General features: G+C 37.9%; 2 long non-coding RNA genes across 2 annotated transcripts in view, besides 2 other annotated features; one reads left to right on the top strand and one right to left on the bottom strand.

Annotated features, from left to right (window-relative positions):
• The window catches only part of LINC01098 (long intergenic non-protein coding RNA 1098), a 261994-nt gene that overhangs the window by 117514 nt on the left and 125374 nt on the right, over window positions 1-19106 (bottom strand).
• The window catches only part of LINC01099 (long intergenic non-protein coding RNA 1099), a 95891-nt gene that overhangs the window by 34700 nt on the left and 42085 nt on the right, over window positions 1-19106 (top strand). The gene's annotated exons all lie outside the window — the stretch shown is intronic.
• Window positions 10927-11442: an enhancer, noted in NCBI's record as "H3K4me1 hESC enhancer chr4:178782949-178783464 (GRCh37/hg19 assembly coordinates)". NCBI's record gives its function as "activates a minimal SCP1, AML or CMV promoter by ChIP-STARR-seq in naive and primed H9 embryonic stem cells {active_cell/tissue: H9 hESC(naive and primed)}" and the evidence as "EXISTENCE:reporter gene assay evidence [ECO:0000049][PMID:30033119]".
• Window positions 11443-11958: an enhancer, noted in NCBI's record as "H3K4me1 hESC enhancer chr4:178782433-178782948 (GRCh37/hg19 assembly coordinates)". NCBI's record gives its function as "activates a minimal SCP1, AML or CMV promoter by ChIP-STARR-seq in naive H9 embryonic stem cells {active_cell/tissue: H9 hESC(naive)}" and the evidence as "EXISTENCE:reporter gene assay evidence [ECO:0000049][PMID:30033119]".

Genomic DNA, 19106 nt, shown 5'->3' with positions numbered 1-19106 from the left:
GAAACAATTTTTGTAAGGGCATGACAGAAGCAATATTAGGTAGAAGAGGTGAACAGCAATAGACTTGCAACGCAGGTTTCAGCTGATATCCTGACTGGCCAAAATGGCCTCTTAGAGATATTTCCATTTGAGGCCAAGTTGCTTCACCCTTGAATCACTACAAAGGTAGGCAACATAACCTCTTGGGGGTTGAGTAAGGAAGCCTGCTTTAACCAGAAACAATCCTTAGCTCTACTCACCTATGAGCCCTCAGAAGCCAACACGCCTAGCACATAAGGCAATCAGTGCTTCAGTCCTAAACCGGGGATCTAGGCAGTATTCTGCATCTCTCCCTATAGGTCTCCCTACAGGGACTCTTAATTGAAAATATCTCCTCTTTCCATCCCACCAGCATCTAAGTCCAACTTTCTTTGGGTAAAACAGAAGGCCTCAATCTGTTTTCTGTGAAATTACTAAGTCTGAGGCACAGCTGCAGGGACACCTTAGGAGCAAGAAACCCCCACCATTTCCTGTATCTTTACTCTCAATGAGAGGATGTTTCAACCCCCTTTCAAACGATGTGGCTAGAGCAAATAGACCTTCATCTTGGCAATATTCATTGTGGGTTAGGTTTATTTAAAAAATTAAAAATAAAACTCCAATACAGAAGAAATTATGAAGAATGTTATAATCATAGTCATTTTTTTTTAAGAAAGGGAGTATATTCATGATACAAGAAGTTCTGTAAGGGAAAATACGTTTTCAGGTATTAAAACCTAAACAAAACTTAACTCAGCAAATTGTATCTCACAATCTACCCTTAAGCTAAACAATGAAGTACAGTAATTCTGAGTAATAATGCTTTTCTCCTCGATAACATGAATTTTATAATTTTAAAGGTTTTTCTCTTTTATTAAAAAAAAGGAAAACCACAACACCAGTATCAAACCCAAGAAAATTAATATTTTTCCTTAATATCATTTAATTTCTGTGTACAGTTTATTATGATTGCCTCAAGATGATTTTTCTGACAGTTCATCAGGATTCAAACACTTTCCACAGATGCATCTGCATAGTATATGTCTTAAGGCTTACTACCTAGACAAAAATTCTCCCTCTTCATGTCTTCTCATCCATGCTATTTTTTTGTGTCATTTGTCCGGTACAATATCTCATATTCTAGATTTGGCTATTTACATCCTTATAATGTCATTTTAGTTGCTTTTCCTTATTGCCTGTATTTCCCATAGGCGTGTTAATATAAAAGCTTGATTACATTCAGGTTCAGCTTCAAAGTTTCTTATCTGGTAGTGATATGTACTAAGGTATTTACAGATAAAATGGGATTTGCTTCAAAACATTTGGAAAAAAATAGTGGAAAAAGAAATAAAACTGGAAGAGAAGAAAATTGACAGTTTGTGGAATCTGGGCAATGGATTCAAGGAAATTCATTGATACTACTTTTTTCTACTTTTGCTTACGTTTGAATTTGAAAATAATCACATATATTTAGAAGAGAAAGAGCTAGCCCTTTAAGAAAAATGTTACTTTGTACTTAAAGGAAGCAATTACATTGAAAGTAAAATAGTATAAATAATCACATAAAGCATCAAAGTTTACTTAAATACATACTTGTCATAGGAGTATTTAAGACCTAAGCAAGCTGAATATGTATTTCTTTCATTTCTGTGAAACTGAGCTCTACATATTAATGCCATTATATATATAATTATAGCTAATATATAATTATGATATATAATTGTATTATAATGAACAAATAACATAAAATGAGAAATGATACTGAGAAAGTAACCAGGTACATATGATAAATTTAAAAAGCAAAAGAGACCATTTTACCCATCTTTATGCAAGTAATTTGAGATTCTGGTGAAATTATTTATAGGTTGATATATACTACAAACCCTAACCCCAGAAATGAGAGAAAATAAAAATAAAACTCCATAAAATAAATCGAGAAAGTAGTAAAAGAGATTCTACTCTCAACAAAATCAAGAGGACCACACACTTTTCTCAGAGAAAGGTCTCTCATCTTTAAGACAGAAATTTCAATCTATCTAGGATGCTCTAGAACTTAGAATAAGAATGAAAGTTTCTAATTTTTTTGAAAGTGAATTTTATTAAAGTGTAATTTTAATACAATAAAATGCATTCATTTTAAGAGGACAGTTTGATGAAATTTGACAAAACTCTACAAGCTTGTGGATCCTCTATATCTATTCTGCTGTTAAATCTATCCAGTGAAATTTTATTTTATATACTGGATTCTTTATCTCTGAAGATATTTGGCTCTTTTTAAAATTCTTCTAGTTCTTTCTTCATCATGTACATGTTTTCCTTTAAGCTCTCAAAAATAATTATAATAGTCTTTTTAAAGTTCTTATGCTAATCTACCATCTCTTTCATTTCTATTTTTATGACTATTAATCAATTCGACATGTTAATGGTCACATTTTCCTGTCTTTTCTCATGTCTAGTAATTTCTGATTGGATTGTGGACATTGTAATTGTGATATTGTTGAATGCTAATATTTTGTTTTCTATCTTGAAAGAGGGATGGGTTTAGTCTGGTCAGAGTCAGCTAAATGCAATGCAGCTTAATCTAGAGAATAGTTTTTAAGTGTATTTTAGAGGATTTAGATTTCACTCAAGAGTTAGCTAAGTAGTACTATATATATAATCATTCTTATAATTTCACAGTGAGGCAGTGATATCATTGTGACATCTGACTGTTTGGATAGCAAACTCCTCACAGCCCTCTTTGAGTAGTAGACATTTTCTAGCTTAGAAGTCCCTGGCACTTCTTTCTCAGAATGTCTTCTTTTGCTGGTCTGGTGGAGTCTTACTCTCTCCCATGTGTGGTTAGTGCTTAACCAGTTTTTTGTTTTTTGTTTTTTGTTTTTTTGGGTTTTTTTTTTTTTTTTTTTTTTTTTTTTTTTCAGATTTCTAGAGCTATTTATTTGGGTAGCTACCTTGCCTCAAATATTTTGCCCCAAATTTCAGTTTGCCTCAATTTCCCTGAACTCTGAGACTCATCTCTGCAATTCATTGAGACCCCTGTGCTCTGCCTGTGTTTACCCCTCTACTCCATGACCTGGGAAATGGCTGCAGTCTGTAATGTGGGGTGATTGTATGGCTTAGATTATTTGTTTCCCTTTTTTCAGGGGTCATAGTCCTACACTGCCTATCTTTCAATTTCTGAAAAATAATTGTTTCATATAGCTTGTTCATATTGCTAGAATTTTTTGGTTTTTAGTTTTATTTAACGTCAAGAAGGTATGTCCAGTAACATTCACTGTGGCATAAACAGAAGTGAAAGCCCCAAGTTCTTTTTTTTTAATCAAGTCCAAGAAAACTGACAATAAGCACCAAAGTACATATATTTTTAAAAGCTATATATCTGTTTTACTCATGCTAAGTAATGTAAAAATCCTGAAACCAATAAACAAATATGATCAACAGTAAGAAACACCACAGAGTATATCCCATACATGCAAGAACATATCAAAATCAGGAAACATATTAATATAATTCACCATAGGATAAAAACAAAATCAAAATGATGTGATCTTCTCCATAGATACTGAGGTTTTTATATAATTCAGTATCCATTCTTTATTTTTTAAATATTGTTTTAAGTATATGTATTTTTCTTTAAGAGTTTTTACAAAATCTACGTCAGCTGAAAAAGTTGTTTATATTTGGTGTCTACCACAGTTACTCTCATTTAAAGTTTTTAAGGTATTACCATAATAAAAGACATAGAGGAGGACATAAAGCTATCACAATTTGCAAATAATTGTATAACTTACATACAAAATCCAAAAGATTTGACTAAAAAAAGTCATGTAAACATTGAGATAAATTAGTGTGGCAGCTGGAGTCAAAATTAACATACCAATATCCTTCCTGTATGTAAAATAAACTTCCATATAGATATTACGGAAGAAAATACTAGATTTATGCATAATATATAAAACTAAATTTTAAAACTAGCCAGAATCTACATGAAGACATTTTTAATATCACTAAAAGGGAAAAAGATAACTTCAAATAATGGCAGGGGATACATTAAGAAAAGTATCATAAAATTTCAACTCTCCCGAAGTGCATCTATGTGCAAACCAATGTTTTAATAGGCAGGATTCATGAGATATCATTTTCAAGTGTCTTTACTGGGTTTTTTTCTCCTTTTCTCTTTTAAATGTGTTTCCTGGTACTAGTTCTTTTGGCTTTGGGGTGAAGTTAAAACAAGTCCTGTTAATTTCCTTGCCACTTTATGTAGCAAAGTATCCTTGGGTTAGTAATCAATATATGTAGTGTTTTCTCACAGATGTGGGGGTTAAAAGTCCAAGATGAAGGTGTCAGCAGGGTTGTTTCTCCTTGGCTTTTAGATGGCCATTGTCTCTCTGCCTTCACATAGTCATTCCCCCGCGACTGTGTTCTAATCTCCTCCTCTTATAAGGAGAGCAGTCCTATTGAATTAGGGTTCACCCTAAAGAGTTCATTTAATCTTAATTATCTTTATAAGACTCTATCTCCAAATACAGTTGCACTGGGGCTTACTAGATATTCCACTACTGGGGGTTAAGACTTCAACATGTGAATTTTGGGGGGGACACAATTCAGCCCATAACAATAACTAAACTTTAAACTTTTTCGTAGTCATAGGTATTCTCCCTTCTCAGAGCTTTGACTTAGTGACTGCCAACCATGTTAAAGATGGGGAGTTTATTGGCCGGTTTAATTGTTTTTGTCTTGTTCTTGTGCTGATTTACACTCTTGCTACCCATAAACTTTGGCCCTTCCAGGACCAAAACAGGTAGAAGGGACGAGCAAAAAATATACATATATGTTTTATTTGACCAACTGGCATCCTGCTTTTTAGATCTGATAGTGTTTATTGCTAACTTTTTCGCAGGGTCTCCTGGGAACTAGTTTCATCATTTTAAATACCACCTATGAGCTCTTTGGAGAACCTATGTATTGTTAGGTATCTCTTACTTGTATTTAAAAGTGAATAGTACATTCTCCGTGGTTAGCCCCTAAACATGTTCTGCTTTGTCCATGCTTCTTGGAGGGTCACCTTGATAGAGAGTCTCTATTTAGAGAAAAAAAAGGAGGAATCTCTATATGCATTGATAAAGGTATAATACCTAAGCCAAGGTTAAAAAAAAATCAAGGGGAACAGGAGTGTGTATTGCATGCTACCATTTTTGAAAGGCAAAAAGAATCCTGATGGATACAGAGAAATATGTTAAGTGGTTAAATTTTGGGAGGGGAGCTAAAAGACTGGAGGATAGAAACTTTCACAATACAACTGTTTTTATAATACCATTTTATTTTATACAGTAAGCCTGGATTACCTATTCAAAAATAAGTTGTTTTGCTATACAAGTAAATAAAATTATGCATTATCTCTTTTTTTAATTCCCCAAATTTAAGGTAGGCATATAGATATTTTTGAGTTTCAAAAGAGAGAAAATTAAGACATGGAACAATTTTTTCTAAGAAATCATCATAATAGCTACCATTTAATAAGTACTTAGTGTGTGTCAGGCGTTTCAGTTTATTATTTATATTCTCTGAAGAAAGATACTATACATTTTACTGTTTGGATGAAGTTAATGAAATTCAAAAATGTTATATACTTTTTTCAAGGTCACAAATATTAAAAAACAGAGAAAGGATTTTAATCCAAATATATCTATTTCTAAAGCAAGTAAATATTGTATTAGACACATCTACCATCCAGAAAGCAATTGGCAGAACTATGCATATAACATAAAGTCTTTTAGCAATTAGAAATTCTATTTTTGTTTGGAAAAGATTATGAAACTCTACTGTAAGAAATGGCAGGGAGGAGGGGATTTAATCAGAAAAAGATCTATGATTTTTTCCAAATCATCTCTAAATAAGTTGCTTCTGTATTATACATCACATACTTAAAACATAATCTAAAAATAGAATGCAATTCCCCAACATTCTCTATCATCAGATACTCCAATCCCATTATATATGGGGCCCAATGTAAAATTAAAATGGAAGGACTTGTTAAAAATTGAAGTATTGAATTATTCTTAAATACTAATTGAATAATTATTGAATTATTAAGCATGTCAAGACGGTGACAGCAGAGCTTTAAGGCATGTGGTCTTTGTGAGTGCTGCAGTGTGGAGCCACTGGCAGCTACTTAGGCCACAAGTCCTTCCTCTCCATCACACTCTATCAGCCTGATGGAGACTTAGTTCAGCCCTCATCCCTTCATATCAATCTACAAAAAAAATGTTATTATTGATTACACCAAAATGTACTTCAAACAACTGACTTGGCTGGTTTTCCTTCTACTACATTTCTTTACAATTTTCTTCACTATTTCTCCTCTGTTGTCTGGAACTCTATATATTGGCGCACCCCAAAGCTTCATCCTTAGTTCTCTTTACCTTTTTACCTATACTAATTCAATTGCTGTCAACTAGTTTCATCATTTAAAATACCACCTATGAACTGTTAACTCCCAGATTTCCATCTCTTGCCCAGACCTATCTCTCAAACTGCAGACATGAAGCTCCCCATCTGCCTATCCACTTCTGCATTGGCGTAAATATCCCAGAGTTGCCTTCAGTATAAGAAACACCAAACTGAACTTCTGATATCCTCTCTACTAACACAATCTAAAACCACACACACAAAAACTACTCCATCTGTGACTTCCCTTCTCAGTAGATAACAACTCAAATCTTCCAATGACATAGGCCAAAACCTTGGAGTCATTCTGTTTCTCTAACAATCTATATCCAGTCTAAAAGCAAATCAGGGGCCTTGATCTTCACAGGATGTCCAGAAACCAAGCACTCACATGAAATCCACTTCTAATTCCTGTCTATCTCTATTATCACCGATTATTTGTGTTATTGCAGTAACCTCTAACATATTGCCTTTCTTCTTCCTTTCATCCCTAAAGTTATCACTGCAGCTAAAGTGATTGTTTTTGTTGTTGTTGTTGTTTTGAGACAGTCTCACTGTCGTCAGCCCAGGCTGGAGTGCAATGGCATCGTCTTGGCTCACTGCAACCTCAGCCTCCCGGGTTCCAGCAATTCTCTTGCCTTAGCCTCCTGAGTAGCTGAGATTACAGGTGTCTGCCAACACACCTGGCTGAGTTTTGTATTTTTTTAGTAGAGATGGGGTTTCACCATGTTGGCAAGGCTGGTCTTCAACTCCTGACCTCCGGTGATCCACCCACTTTGGCCTCCCAAAATATTGGGATTACAGTAATGAGCCACCACACCCGGCCAAGTGATTGTTTGACTATAAGTGAGACAATGTGCTCTTCTGCTCAGTTCCCTATAATGAGTCCCCATCGTAAACAGAATTAGAGGCCAAGTCTTCACAACAGCCTGATGACACCTAAGGCCATAGGTAATCTGGCTCGCTGCTGCCATTCTTACTTCCTCTTCCCTCCTACTACTCCTCTCTCCTGCTCACTCCACTTTAGGCCAACTGGCCTCCATGCAGTGCCTCAAACACACTCATCAGGTCCCCACTCTAGCGCCTTTTTTCTACCTGGCCCCTCTGCAGGTATCTCATTGTCCCAGATATCCCATTGGCTAAAACTCTCAATTCATTCAACTGTCTTCAAATCCTCTTGCAAGAAAACCTCCCCTCACCACCTTATTTAATCCTGTTAGCTGTCCCCATCTGGCACCCTGACTCATGTACCTTATATCCACCTTACAATTCTCTGTTAGTCATGTTTTCATAACATAACACTACAATTTACTTATCATCATGCTTATTTTTATATTCTATTTCCCCATGCCCAGATGTGTAAGATAGGGAAGAGTGAAAAGGAGCATTTTATTCACTGATGCACCACAAATTTTGGAGATGCCTAGATAAATGCCTGAAAACTAACAGGTGCTGCATAAAAACAATCTTATTCATGAATTTTTATCTTACTTCTCATATTTCAATTTTTCATTGAACATATTCAAAAACTTTAACCCTGTCAGTGAGATAACAGTGATTTTACAACCTACTTCACTTTGGACCTCAACAGGTCTGTGAATCCTGAGAGTTCAGCTGATGGGCTACTTTATGCTTCTGATTCAATTTCTAGTTTTTCATAATATGCATTTCCTGGAAATATCACAGCAGTAGACTACTTACTATAAAGAAACAATTATTTTCATTAGAGAAAAAAAGAATCTCTGTAATGTTTGGAGAGCACTGTGAGACAGGAACATTTAATTACACAGTGAGTGGTCCAGTACAGGGCATCTCCTTGGCCACATCTGCCATAGCTCTGATTTATGCTTAATAAATAAGTTGGTATTGTATGGAATGCACTGACTTTCATTAACAGCATTACATTTGACCATGTAGGTGGTAAATCAATTCTAATTTTATCAAATAACTTCACAAAGAAAATAAATTAATTGTATGTCTTAGTGTTATATTTATCAATTTGCATTCCAAGTAAAGCTAGTTACCTTCTTGGCACACAGTCCTTTCTTAATAAATATTTTTGGTATGAATTAATGAGCGAATGGAAATGTTAATAGCTCAATGAAAATCACAAAAGTTACAAAACTGTCCTATGGTCAAACACATTTTGCAAATAGACTGTTGTGTTAAGAGACAGACTTGTTAAGAAAATGTGTTATGGTGTGGAATGTAGTTTAGGGAGAGGTAAAAATCAACAAAGAAAGATAAGCAATATTACAATATTCCCATCACAAAATTATAGGATGTTAGACTAGTAAGACCAGAGAAGATGACAACATCAAGATCTACATTGAAATTACATTGGTCTTGAATGGAAATACAAGCAAGAGGCTTTGCTGACACATTGCTAAAATAAAATAAAAAATAAAGCTGGTGTGTAATAAGAAAAAAAGTCAATATAGTGTTTGCAGGAACCATTCAACAGTTGCACGTTACATTGAAATGGCAGAAACTTGGTGATGACAAGGTGTAGAAGACAACATTGGGGATTGTATTTTGAGTTTGTTTTATTTTTTTTTAATTGAAATGACTGCAAGACATCCATGTGGAAATCTAGAGAATCTGACTTAGAGAAGAGGCCTTGGCCAGAGATCAGATTTGGGAGCCAGCAAAAAATATGAATGAGATATTAGGAAAATATAATTGAAAACCAATTATCCTCCCATCCTGGATAACCTCTCCACAAAGATAGCAGAAAACAATTTTATTATTGAACAAGTATTAAACCAGAATGTGATATACATCCCAGGCAATTTGCTAAGAAATGGCAAAGATGGAAAGAAATCTTATCCCTTTATGTAGCCAAGTAGATACAACTCATTACATTCAGGCCCTCAAGATAAAGAATGACTAGTCCTCAAGTCAAGAACTTGGCAGCGGTATTTTTCACACACAGCAATTCACCTAGCGATTGGGGTGACTAGTTAGGTGGCTTTATATAAAGGAAAATACACTTCTCATATCTGTATGATAGACAGTAGTTTTGCAACTTAGAGCCAAGCTTTAGCTGAAGTTAGGTCCTACCCTCCCACAGAACCTGGGAGATGGAGGCACTTATCTTCCTTTAATATTTACATTCCAAAGAGATGTTTTCCAGGTCCTTGATAAAGACATTCTTCTCCCTTAAAACTGGCAAGAGGTTTATTTAGCTTTTAAAAATATTTAAATACATTTCAAAGAAATGAAGAAAATACAAGTTTTCTAAAGTAATTCTATAAGAAAAGAAAGGGGCAAGAATTCTCTTTCCTTATTCTCAACAGGGGAAATTAACCCTCTTAATTTTAATTTGTGTTTGCCCTTACAGAGATCATCTAGTAAGAGATTGCAAAAACAGAAGAGCAACTGGGAGCAATTCCTAATAACCAATATTTAAAGTTTAGTTAGAAAAGGAACCAGCAGTAGCTGAGACATATTTATGAGCATTGGGGTGAGTTTTTAAAAAATAATAAAAGAAAATTGAGGGTATTTGTATAAAAAGATAATCACCCGGTGTTACAGACTAATCTGTGTCCCCGCCCCCCACCCAACCCCTGTCAAATTTATATACTCAAGGCCTCCCAAGTCTAAATATATTTGCAGATAAGACCTTTTAGGAACTAATGAAGGGTGAATGAGGTCATAAAAGTTGGGCCCCAATCCAATAGTGTCTCGGAATCCTTAGGGTGTCACTTTTCCAGCTGGAAACCTCTGTGGCCGGTGGCGCCTTTGCCCGAGTTCTTGTTCAGGCCCACTGGGTTTGTTCCGCCCACTTAGCCTAGCAGGCTGAGCTCAGTTCAGTCTAGCAGCCTGGATCCCATGCCTACCAAGGGCAAGCCAGGTGCAGAGTGGCAAGGGGTGTGTGAGCAAGCAAGCATGGGGTCTGGCCATTGCACACAGCCAGGCATGCCAGTTACTGCAGCGGGGCAGGCAGGTCCAGGAGCCGGCACAGGCACTGGCTTCGTGCAGGACTGTGACTGGATCAGATGTACTGCAAGCAGCTTCCACTGAGGGCACCCGTGTCTGGATGAGGGGAACGCAGTGGTGCCGGAACCTTGGAGACGCCAGGAACCACGGAGCCCCAAAAAGGGTGTCACACCCCTGGCTCAGGGAGCCCCTGGGTCTAGAATCCCCGAAGGGCCGCAGCTCTTCTTTCCTTCTTGTCACCCCCAACGTGGTGAGCGGAGGGTGGGGGGGCGTGCTTCGGCCCTGTTTGCGTTACAGCTCTTTCAGTCCCGCCATTCAGTGGGTCCCGAGTTCTTGTCCTGTATCCAGGAAGAATGAGATATGCAGACAACTAGAGAGTAAGCAAGACAGACAGGAGCTTTAGTGAGTGACAGGACAGCTCAGAGGAGACCCACAGTTGGTAGCTCCTTTCTGCAGGTGTGTCATTCCAAGGAGAGCCCAGCTCTCAGTGGAGAGGAGACCCATACTGGGTAGGTCCTTTCTGCAGGCAGGTCGCCCAGCAAGTGTCCAGCTCTCAGTGAGGAGACCTGTAGTGGGTAGCACCTTTCCACAGCTGGTAGTCCGAATGTCTGTCCTAGTCAGGTGGATCTGGGGTTTTTACGTGCTCAGGAGGGAGAAAGTGTGTGCTGATTGGTCCATGAGTGGCCATGGGCGGCCTGGAAAAAGCACCGTAAATTCTCACTCTGGGCCACAGACTCCATCCAAAACTGACAGCCCAGCCTCCAGTCTTCAGGCCATCCCCGGCTTGAAGGTGGGATTTCACCTGGGACCCACCCCTTTCCACTCAAGAGCCTGTCTACCTCCTGGTGCCATCAACATGCCATCCACCGCGTCCAGGCTGTTCTTGCTGAGGGTCCTCTGCAGGCCCGTGCTGAGCCGCCCTGAATATCCTCTCAGCCTTCCTCCCATGATCGTTGGTGGCCAAAGTCCAGAGGGAGCCAAGGCGGTAGGGGGCTGACGTGTCAGCATCGCCCCAAATGCGTGCACACTAGGCCAGGTCACGATGGTGCCTGGGCTCAGCCACAACTTTGCTCCGCCCGGGAGCAGCCACTGGGAGCAAGAAGAGGCTAGAGAATGGGAGCAGGCACTTCCAAGCCTGTGGGGGCAAGGGGCTTCCTGGGCCCCCGAGAGCACAGGGATCCTGGGGTCTGGAGCCGCAACCCGGTGGCTGTGGCTGAACCTGGGAGGAACTTGATAGGCGATGGGCCTCCACGGAGAAAAATGAGCCATATTTGAGATAGCTGTAGAAAAAATGTGCCTGAGTGGGGCAGGAAGGCTAAGGAAAATGCAGTATTCAAAGATCAGATTTAAAATATAAAGAAACGTGCAGGTCAAAAATTTGGTGTTTCAAGGACGGATGTGGTGGCTCATGCCAGTAATCCCAGCACTTTGGGAGGCTAAGGCAGGCAGATCACCTGAAATCAGGAGTTTGGAACCAGCCTGGCCAACATGGTGAGGCCCCATCTCTACTAAAAATACAAAAATTAGCCAGGCCTGGTGGTGCACCCCTGTAGTCCCAGCTACTCAGGAGGCTGAGGCAGGAGAATCGCTTGAACTCGGGAGGTGGAGGTTGCAATAAGCTGAGGTCGCACCACTGCACTCCAGCCTGGGCGACAGAGCAAGACTCTGTCTCAAAAAATTGGTGTTCCAGAGTCCACTGCTAAAGGACTTCAGAAGAAGGGGGAAGTGGGATACTGAGTCACCTCACAGGTCGTGCACCACGGTATGAGAACAGTCTGAGTCATGATTGACTTCTCCGGAGTCTTGGACTTCTGGCACTGGTGAAGGCAAGCAGAGAATGAGCCATATCTGGCTTACTTCTCTAAGCAAAGTTGAGAAACTAGCTGCATTGCTTTGGTCCCATTTGTGGTATGATGTCCTGTGCAATGGCAGCATTTGGTCTAGACCCTGATGAAAATTACATCCTAATAAGTGGAGTATTCCAGCAGTTTTGTGGCAGCGGTTGCTACAAGTTCACAATTCTGTACCAGGCATGCTCTATCTATGGCATATGATTCTAGAATTTCGATTTCAAAGGGATCTTCAAAACCATCAAATTCAGGGCTTTTGGCTTAAAGAATTCAGGAGTTAGCAAGTAAAATAAGGTAATAGAAAACTACAAAGATTATTCGCTAGCCATGGATATTCCCACACAAATGAAAAGCACAATAAAAATAAATGCTTATAATAATCAAACAAATCAAACTATCATGTCTTTGGATCAAGTTTGAATAAGATGCCAATCTGCAATGTTTGGTTCTTGTTCAATTTAATTTAATTTCACATCTTAAGCTACTAAATTGTAGAGAACCTGATACCAGGCTGAAAATACTGTTGGTCAAAAGTGTCATTTATCTAGAGAGAGGTGATCTACAAAGCAGCAATCCCTCCTCACTCCTCTACACCTCTTCATCATCCTTGACATGCCCTTGCAACCCTTGTGGGAAACCTGATCTAACAGACCCACCAAAAAAAGAAAAAATCCATGAGCTAACCAATGAGAAGTTTCAAAAGTACATGGTCTTTGAGACTTCTTTTGTGTTGTTCATTTCTCATGATTAGTTTATTTGAATAATGTTAATAGAGTAAGCAACTGTACCTCTCCAGCCCCCATGGATTTGGAGTATATGCACCATCTATTTATCACAACCAAGTTTCTTACCATTAAGCTACTGAAAATTAATTTTACTGGAACTTTGCCCAAGTGTTATTTTCATAACTTTCTTATGTTTTATCACCATTCATACTCAAAAATCAACTCTCTGGATTTTAGTTTTCAAAGCACTAGACTTTTGTCAACATATTAATAAAATGTAAATATATACCCAGTGAACTGAACTATTCTTTTCTTTAAAAAGCACTTTTAGGGATATTTTAAAGCCATTATGATGTAGTTCATTCCCAAGTTTATCTCTTATGCGAATTTAGATTTTCAAGCATATTCTATTAAATGTGCAACTGAAATGGCATATTATGAAATTTAAATTGGCTGATGTATTTAGAGGCAATAATTCAAATATTTGACTTTTCCCACATTTAATTTATGAGTAATATTGACAGATAAAAGAATCAAGTTTGTTTAGCTCAGATGTGTTTGATAAGAGTATCATAAAATGAAAAAATGAAAATTATTGGAAGTTTTAAAAACATCAGAATAAAAGTGATCTATTCTTCACTTGCAATCTCAGATTACAATTAATAGTCATTTGTTCTTCCACATTTTTAGTATCAGATAGTTTTGTCTACATTGTATAAAATTACTTATGGCATATCTGTTAACTAATTAGAATTTCTGTAGGGCTATTGTAAAAATCTTGGACCATACTGATTACAGCCCCAGCTTTGGCATCGAAGGACCCAGGTTAAACTCTTATTTCAACTGTTGGAAAATGATCCTAGACAAAAACTACAATCTGTTTGAGTCACAGTTTCTTGAACTATAAATGACACATTGAGATAAGACAATTAGATATGGTGAAATAATTTCTTATATTTGAATCTAATTTGCAGATGTTTATTATAATTTTCTTAAAGCCAATTGTTTGTCTGAATGTATAAAAGAATGTTATTTAAAAAATTTAAGAAGTTTGTTACTAACTGCAACAATAAAATATATTAATTCATAGCATTAATAGTAAAAATAAAACTAGGTATTAAAAACTTTTAAAAACACTGCATGCTGCATGGAAATCTAATGTCACAATTTCTCAGATTTAGGTACTCAACAAATTATTGTTTAAAATTCATGAAGTTAAGTAAGCCTAATGTATCTTTCACAAAGTAAATGTTGAATAAATCTTACTCCCATTCACATTAATGACTAAACCTCAGAATATGAATTTGACCAAAAAAAAAATTTTTTTTTTCTTTTTTTTGAGACAGAAGAGTCTCACTCTGTCACACAGGCTGGAGAGCACGGTGCAATCTCGGCTCACTACAACCTCGACTTCTTGGGCTCAATCAATACTCCAACCTCAGCCTCCCACATAGTTGGGACTATAGACACACCACCACATCCAGCTAATTTTGGGGTTTTTTTGTAGAGATGGGGACTCACTATGTTGCCCCATCTGATCCTGAACCCCTGGGCTCAAGCGATCCCACTGCTTTGGCCTCCCAAAGTGGTGGGATTACAGGTGTAAGCCACTGCACCCAGCCTTCACCTTTATTTTCTAAAAGTACAATGACAGATTCACATATAGACCTTTTAAATTCTAACCTTGGCTGCATAAGACCTCAATATTTTCACTGACCTTCACGTGTTTTACATAATAAAATGCCGTAAAGTGCTACATTTAGAAAATAGACATATTCTAAAATAGTTTTAAAAAATAATATAATTCAAAATCAACCATAAGCCAGAGCCTGTCACACCACCAAATGCAATGGTTATACACGACTGCGTGTGTCTTCATGTGGGTGAGTATAGAGTGCGGGGATGATGACAAGATAAGCATGGCTAACTCAGTCAGCGGGATGAGTTGGAATGGACTGATCCAAATCTGTGTAAATGCTGTAGAAATAAGGTAGGCCGTGGTAGCTCACACTTGTACTCCCAGCACTTTGGGAGGCCAAGGCGGGCGGATCATGAAGTCAAGAGATGGACACCATCCTGGCCAACATGGTGAAACCCCGTCTCTACTAAAAATACAAAAATTAGCTTAACGTGGTGGCAGGTGCCTGTAGTCCCAGCTACTCGGGAGGCTGAGGCAGGAGAATCGCTGGAACCCGTGAGGCAGAGGTTGCAGTGAGCCGAGATCGCACCACTGCACTCCAGCCTGGTGACAGAGCGAGACTCCATCTCAAGAAAAAAAAAAAAGAAAGAAGTTAGGCTCTCCATAACCTCCAGTTCCACATCTGCAAATTCAACCAACCACAGATCAAAAATATTTGAAAGAATAAAGTAAAAAATAGCAATAAAACAAAGAATAATACAAATTTAAAAATACAGAGTAACAACTATTTACATAGCACTTACATTGTATTTGCTATTATAAGTGATCTAGAGGTGATTTAAAGTATACAAGAGAATGTGCATAGGTTAAATGCAAATACTATACCATTTTATATTAGAGACTTGACCACAGGGGTGGGGTATCTTAGAACTAATGCTCCACATGTACCAAGGGGTGACTCTAGTTGTTATGCTGTATTTTTTAGGGAATAATGACAAAAAATAAGTCAGTAGACGTCCAGTACAGATACAACTGCCCTAGGCCTAACAACATTTTCTCTGTGGTTGTTTGAGTCCTTGGTTGGGGAACCCACGGATATAGAGGAACAACTGCCTGTGTAGTATGTGTGTGTGTATGTAGATGTAGATATATAGACATTGATGTATCTATATCCTCAGAAATTTTTTATAATCTCTCAGATTTGGAAAACAAAATGTATCAAAGTGCATTTTGTGGGCCAAGAGCATTGGGAGTTGGGCAATAGGAGAAATTCAGAATGTGAACCTAACCCAGAAGTAATGAATTCGCATATTCATTTTAACAATATCCAAAGGTGGGTCATACTAATATTAAGGTTTGAGAAACACTGTTCAAAGATAACCACAATACCTTACTGGGAAGAAATTCAGTTGAGAATGAGAGAATACTGTTATCAAGACAACATAGCAAAAGTAAACATAGGAAATTCAAGCAAAAGTCAGGAATCGAATAGCAAATGATAGGGTGGTATTGGGCATATATAATCAAGGCAACTAAAACCGTGTGTCAGACAGTGTTCAACATTCGAAGAGGTGTGCAATGGGAGATGAAGTCCTGCCAGCTATGGAAAGAAGAATGCCACGTACATGTGAAAATTCAAAATTTTTTATATCCTAGGAAACATAAGTATTAAAAATATACACATTTAAGAAAAACGCAAAAGTTGTATATAATGTAATGTAATAGAAGCTATAGATAGGTTAAAAAAACAGAATTATGGAAACACTGTAATCCAAGGAAAAACCAAGGTTTTAAACAAACACAGGACAGAGCCTATATGTAAAAATTCTCATCTGATTGGTGAGCATATTTAGCTATCTCTTGTTGGTCCTGAGTTAAAAACAGAGGCAAAAAAATAGAGAAGCTGGCAGTTTTTGAGCAAGTCCTTACCGTCCTGAGCCAATTGCCACAGAGATTGTGGCTTGGCCTTCCTGGCAGGTTGCTGAAGGGGTGTGGGTCAGGGTTCTGTTTCCAGAGATGGTCTGGACATTGTCCGTTGTTCATCCAGTATCTCCGTGTGCACAAAGTTCAGTATGGACTGTGGTTGTTCTAGCAGCTTAGAGAGTTAGACGAAGGAAGAAACTGAAAAGTCAGGGTAGTTCAAATTATATAGGCTTTCACAAGCCCTCTAAAGAATGTGAAATACATATTGAAACTTCTGGTTAAAATTTTGATTGTTTAGAACAATTTTTTTCTGTGCCAAATTAGCTGCAAAGTGAGCCTCCGTGTCTGAGTTCAAATGATAATTGCCACCTTGTCAATATCCGTATTTAATCTCCGCTAGATGTGAAAGTATCACCCAAGGTATATACTTCCAAATTCAGTGCCAAAGCATCTGTTTCACCGGCAAAATGATGTCAATATCTTGAATTTAAAAGTATCAGAGGTTGTGTTATAAAAAAGATGTGAGACGATGATTGAAATATAATCAGGGAATTTTACATCCAACACCCACCACTACCCCAGATCTGAAAAAGAATCAAAATTCATTTTACCTAATTTCCATTCAAAAAGAACCCAGGAGCTTACAGGAACTCTTGATTGTGCCAGAGAAATTTATCCTAAAGAAAGGGAGGCCACAGGTGGCTGCAGGAAATGGGGTTTTCAACTCCTTTTTGTTAATTGGAAGAAGCAATTTGGAGAGAAGAAACTGCTGAAAAGAGCAAACCTTGCTCTGAACACTGTTTTTAACTATCATTGTTGTTGCAATGATAAAAAAGTAAGCCATGATATAGCGATCTTTGTAAAAGCATATTGACATGCTAGGACTTGGAAGGAGTCCTAGCTGAAAGCAAGCAGCTTTTAGGCCTTAGATCGTGTACCCCAGGCTTCCAAAGCAGGAAAGTTCCTGTGGAGGAACAAGTCAGATGAGAGCTATGACAACAGGATGGGGCCAATGCTCAGAGCCAGAGGACAGCAGCCAAAAACGTTGAATTTTAATAAAATTCCAGATGTAACATCCATGTATCTGAATGACTCTAATGGTGTGCTTTCAGACTTTCAAGTGAAATATTCGTTTTCATATTGTTAAACATTTGGAAAATGTAAACTTCATTTAAATAGCATGGACTTTGGACAAATTAATCCACTATGTGCAATGCAAATTGGAAAGAGGTTTATTTTTATTTTAAATGCTTTCTATAGTTTCGTAACTAAGACGAATATGTTTACAGTGCATCAATGCAAAACCCTAGGCAAGCCTACCTGCCCAACTGTTAAACAGAAAGCTGAAGGAGCTGGCATGTGATGAGAATCACGTTGTTGAACACAGTCCCTTTCTTTCTGCCACTTCTCACTTATGATCAGTGCAAAGGCCATAAGGGGGAAATTTCCCACTCTGGATAAGTATGCATTTTTTTCCAAGCCAAAAGTCAACATGTTCTTCTTGCTATTTCAGACAATTTTATAGCATTTTAAGCAATTTTCTCAGGAATCAAAACATACTTAAGATGACTTGACTAAAGAAAATCTGGAGAGAGGATAGTTAGAGATAGGGTTCAAAGATGTCCTTGAAAGTTGTATAAGACTGGGGTGGTTTCTGTTCACAGCCATTTTCCGAGGAGAGGGTTCAGAGACTCCTTCACAGTCTCAAAGGGACTATGTGACCCAAAAATTCTGAAGCACTAATCTAAAGGGTAAATAATGTTTAGTGGTATTTACAATGAAGCTTCAAAAGCATCGTGCTGGAGATCAAGAGACTTGCTTCCGGCCTAGACCCACCTATGACCATTCTAATGATCCTTCTTGAGCAAGTAATTTCTCTCGTCTCGACCTCAATTTTCTCACCATTAATACATGGACAATGGAAGTGATCTCTAAAAGACATGCAATAAATTGTATTTGACATATTCCTCAGCTTCTTGCACCCATTCTGAGTTGAACTGTGCCCTCCATAAAGATGTATTAAAATCCTAACTCCCGGTATTTTAGAATATGACCTTATTTAGAAATAGGATATTTACAGGCACAATCAAGGTAAAGTGAGGTCATTAGGGTAGGTCTTTCCAATACGATTGGTATCCTTATAAAAAGCAGAAAGGTGCACGCAGAGACGCATGCACGGGAAGAACACCAAATAAGATGAAGGCAGAGATGTAGGGGTGCTACATCTACAAGCCAAAGGATTTCAAAGAAAGATGCTAACAAACCATTGAAAGCTATGAGAGTGGAATAGAAGAGAATCTTCTTTGAAGCCCCCAAAGGAACCAAACCTGCTGACATAGTGATTATAGACTTTCAGCTTCCAGAACTTTGAGGCAATTTGTTGTTGAAGATACCCAGGTTGTGGTACTTAGCACATAGCAAACTGACACTCACCGTAATCCAGATGAATAGCTCTGACGTAATCCATATTGTAAATCTGACGTGGCATGGGAGTGAGAAAAACTGACCAGGTGTCTTTCATCCCTAACTTTTCTTATGTTTACTGGTTTTCCTTGATGACGT

Source organism: Homo sapiens, chromosome 4 (assembly GCF_000001405.40).
Source record: "Homo sapiens chromosome 4, GRCh38.p14 Primary Assembly".
NCBI classification, from domain to species: Eukaryota; Metazoa; Chordata; class Mammalia; order Primates; family Hominidae; genus Homo; species Homo sapiens.
The sequence above is the reverse complement of the archived record's forward strand: the minus strand, read 5'-3'. Positions and strand labels throughout refer to the sequence as shown.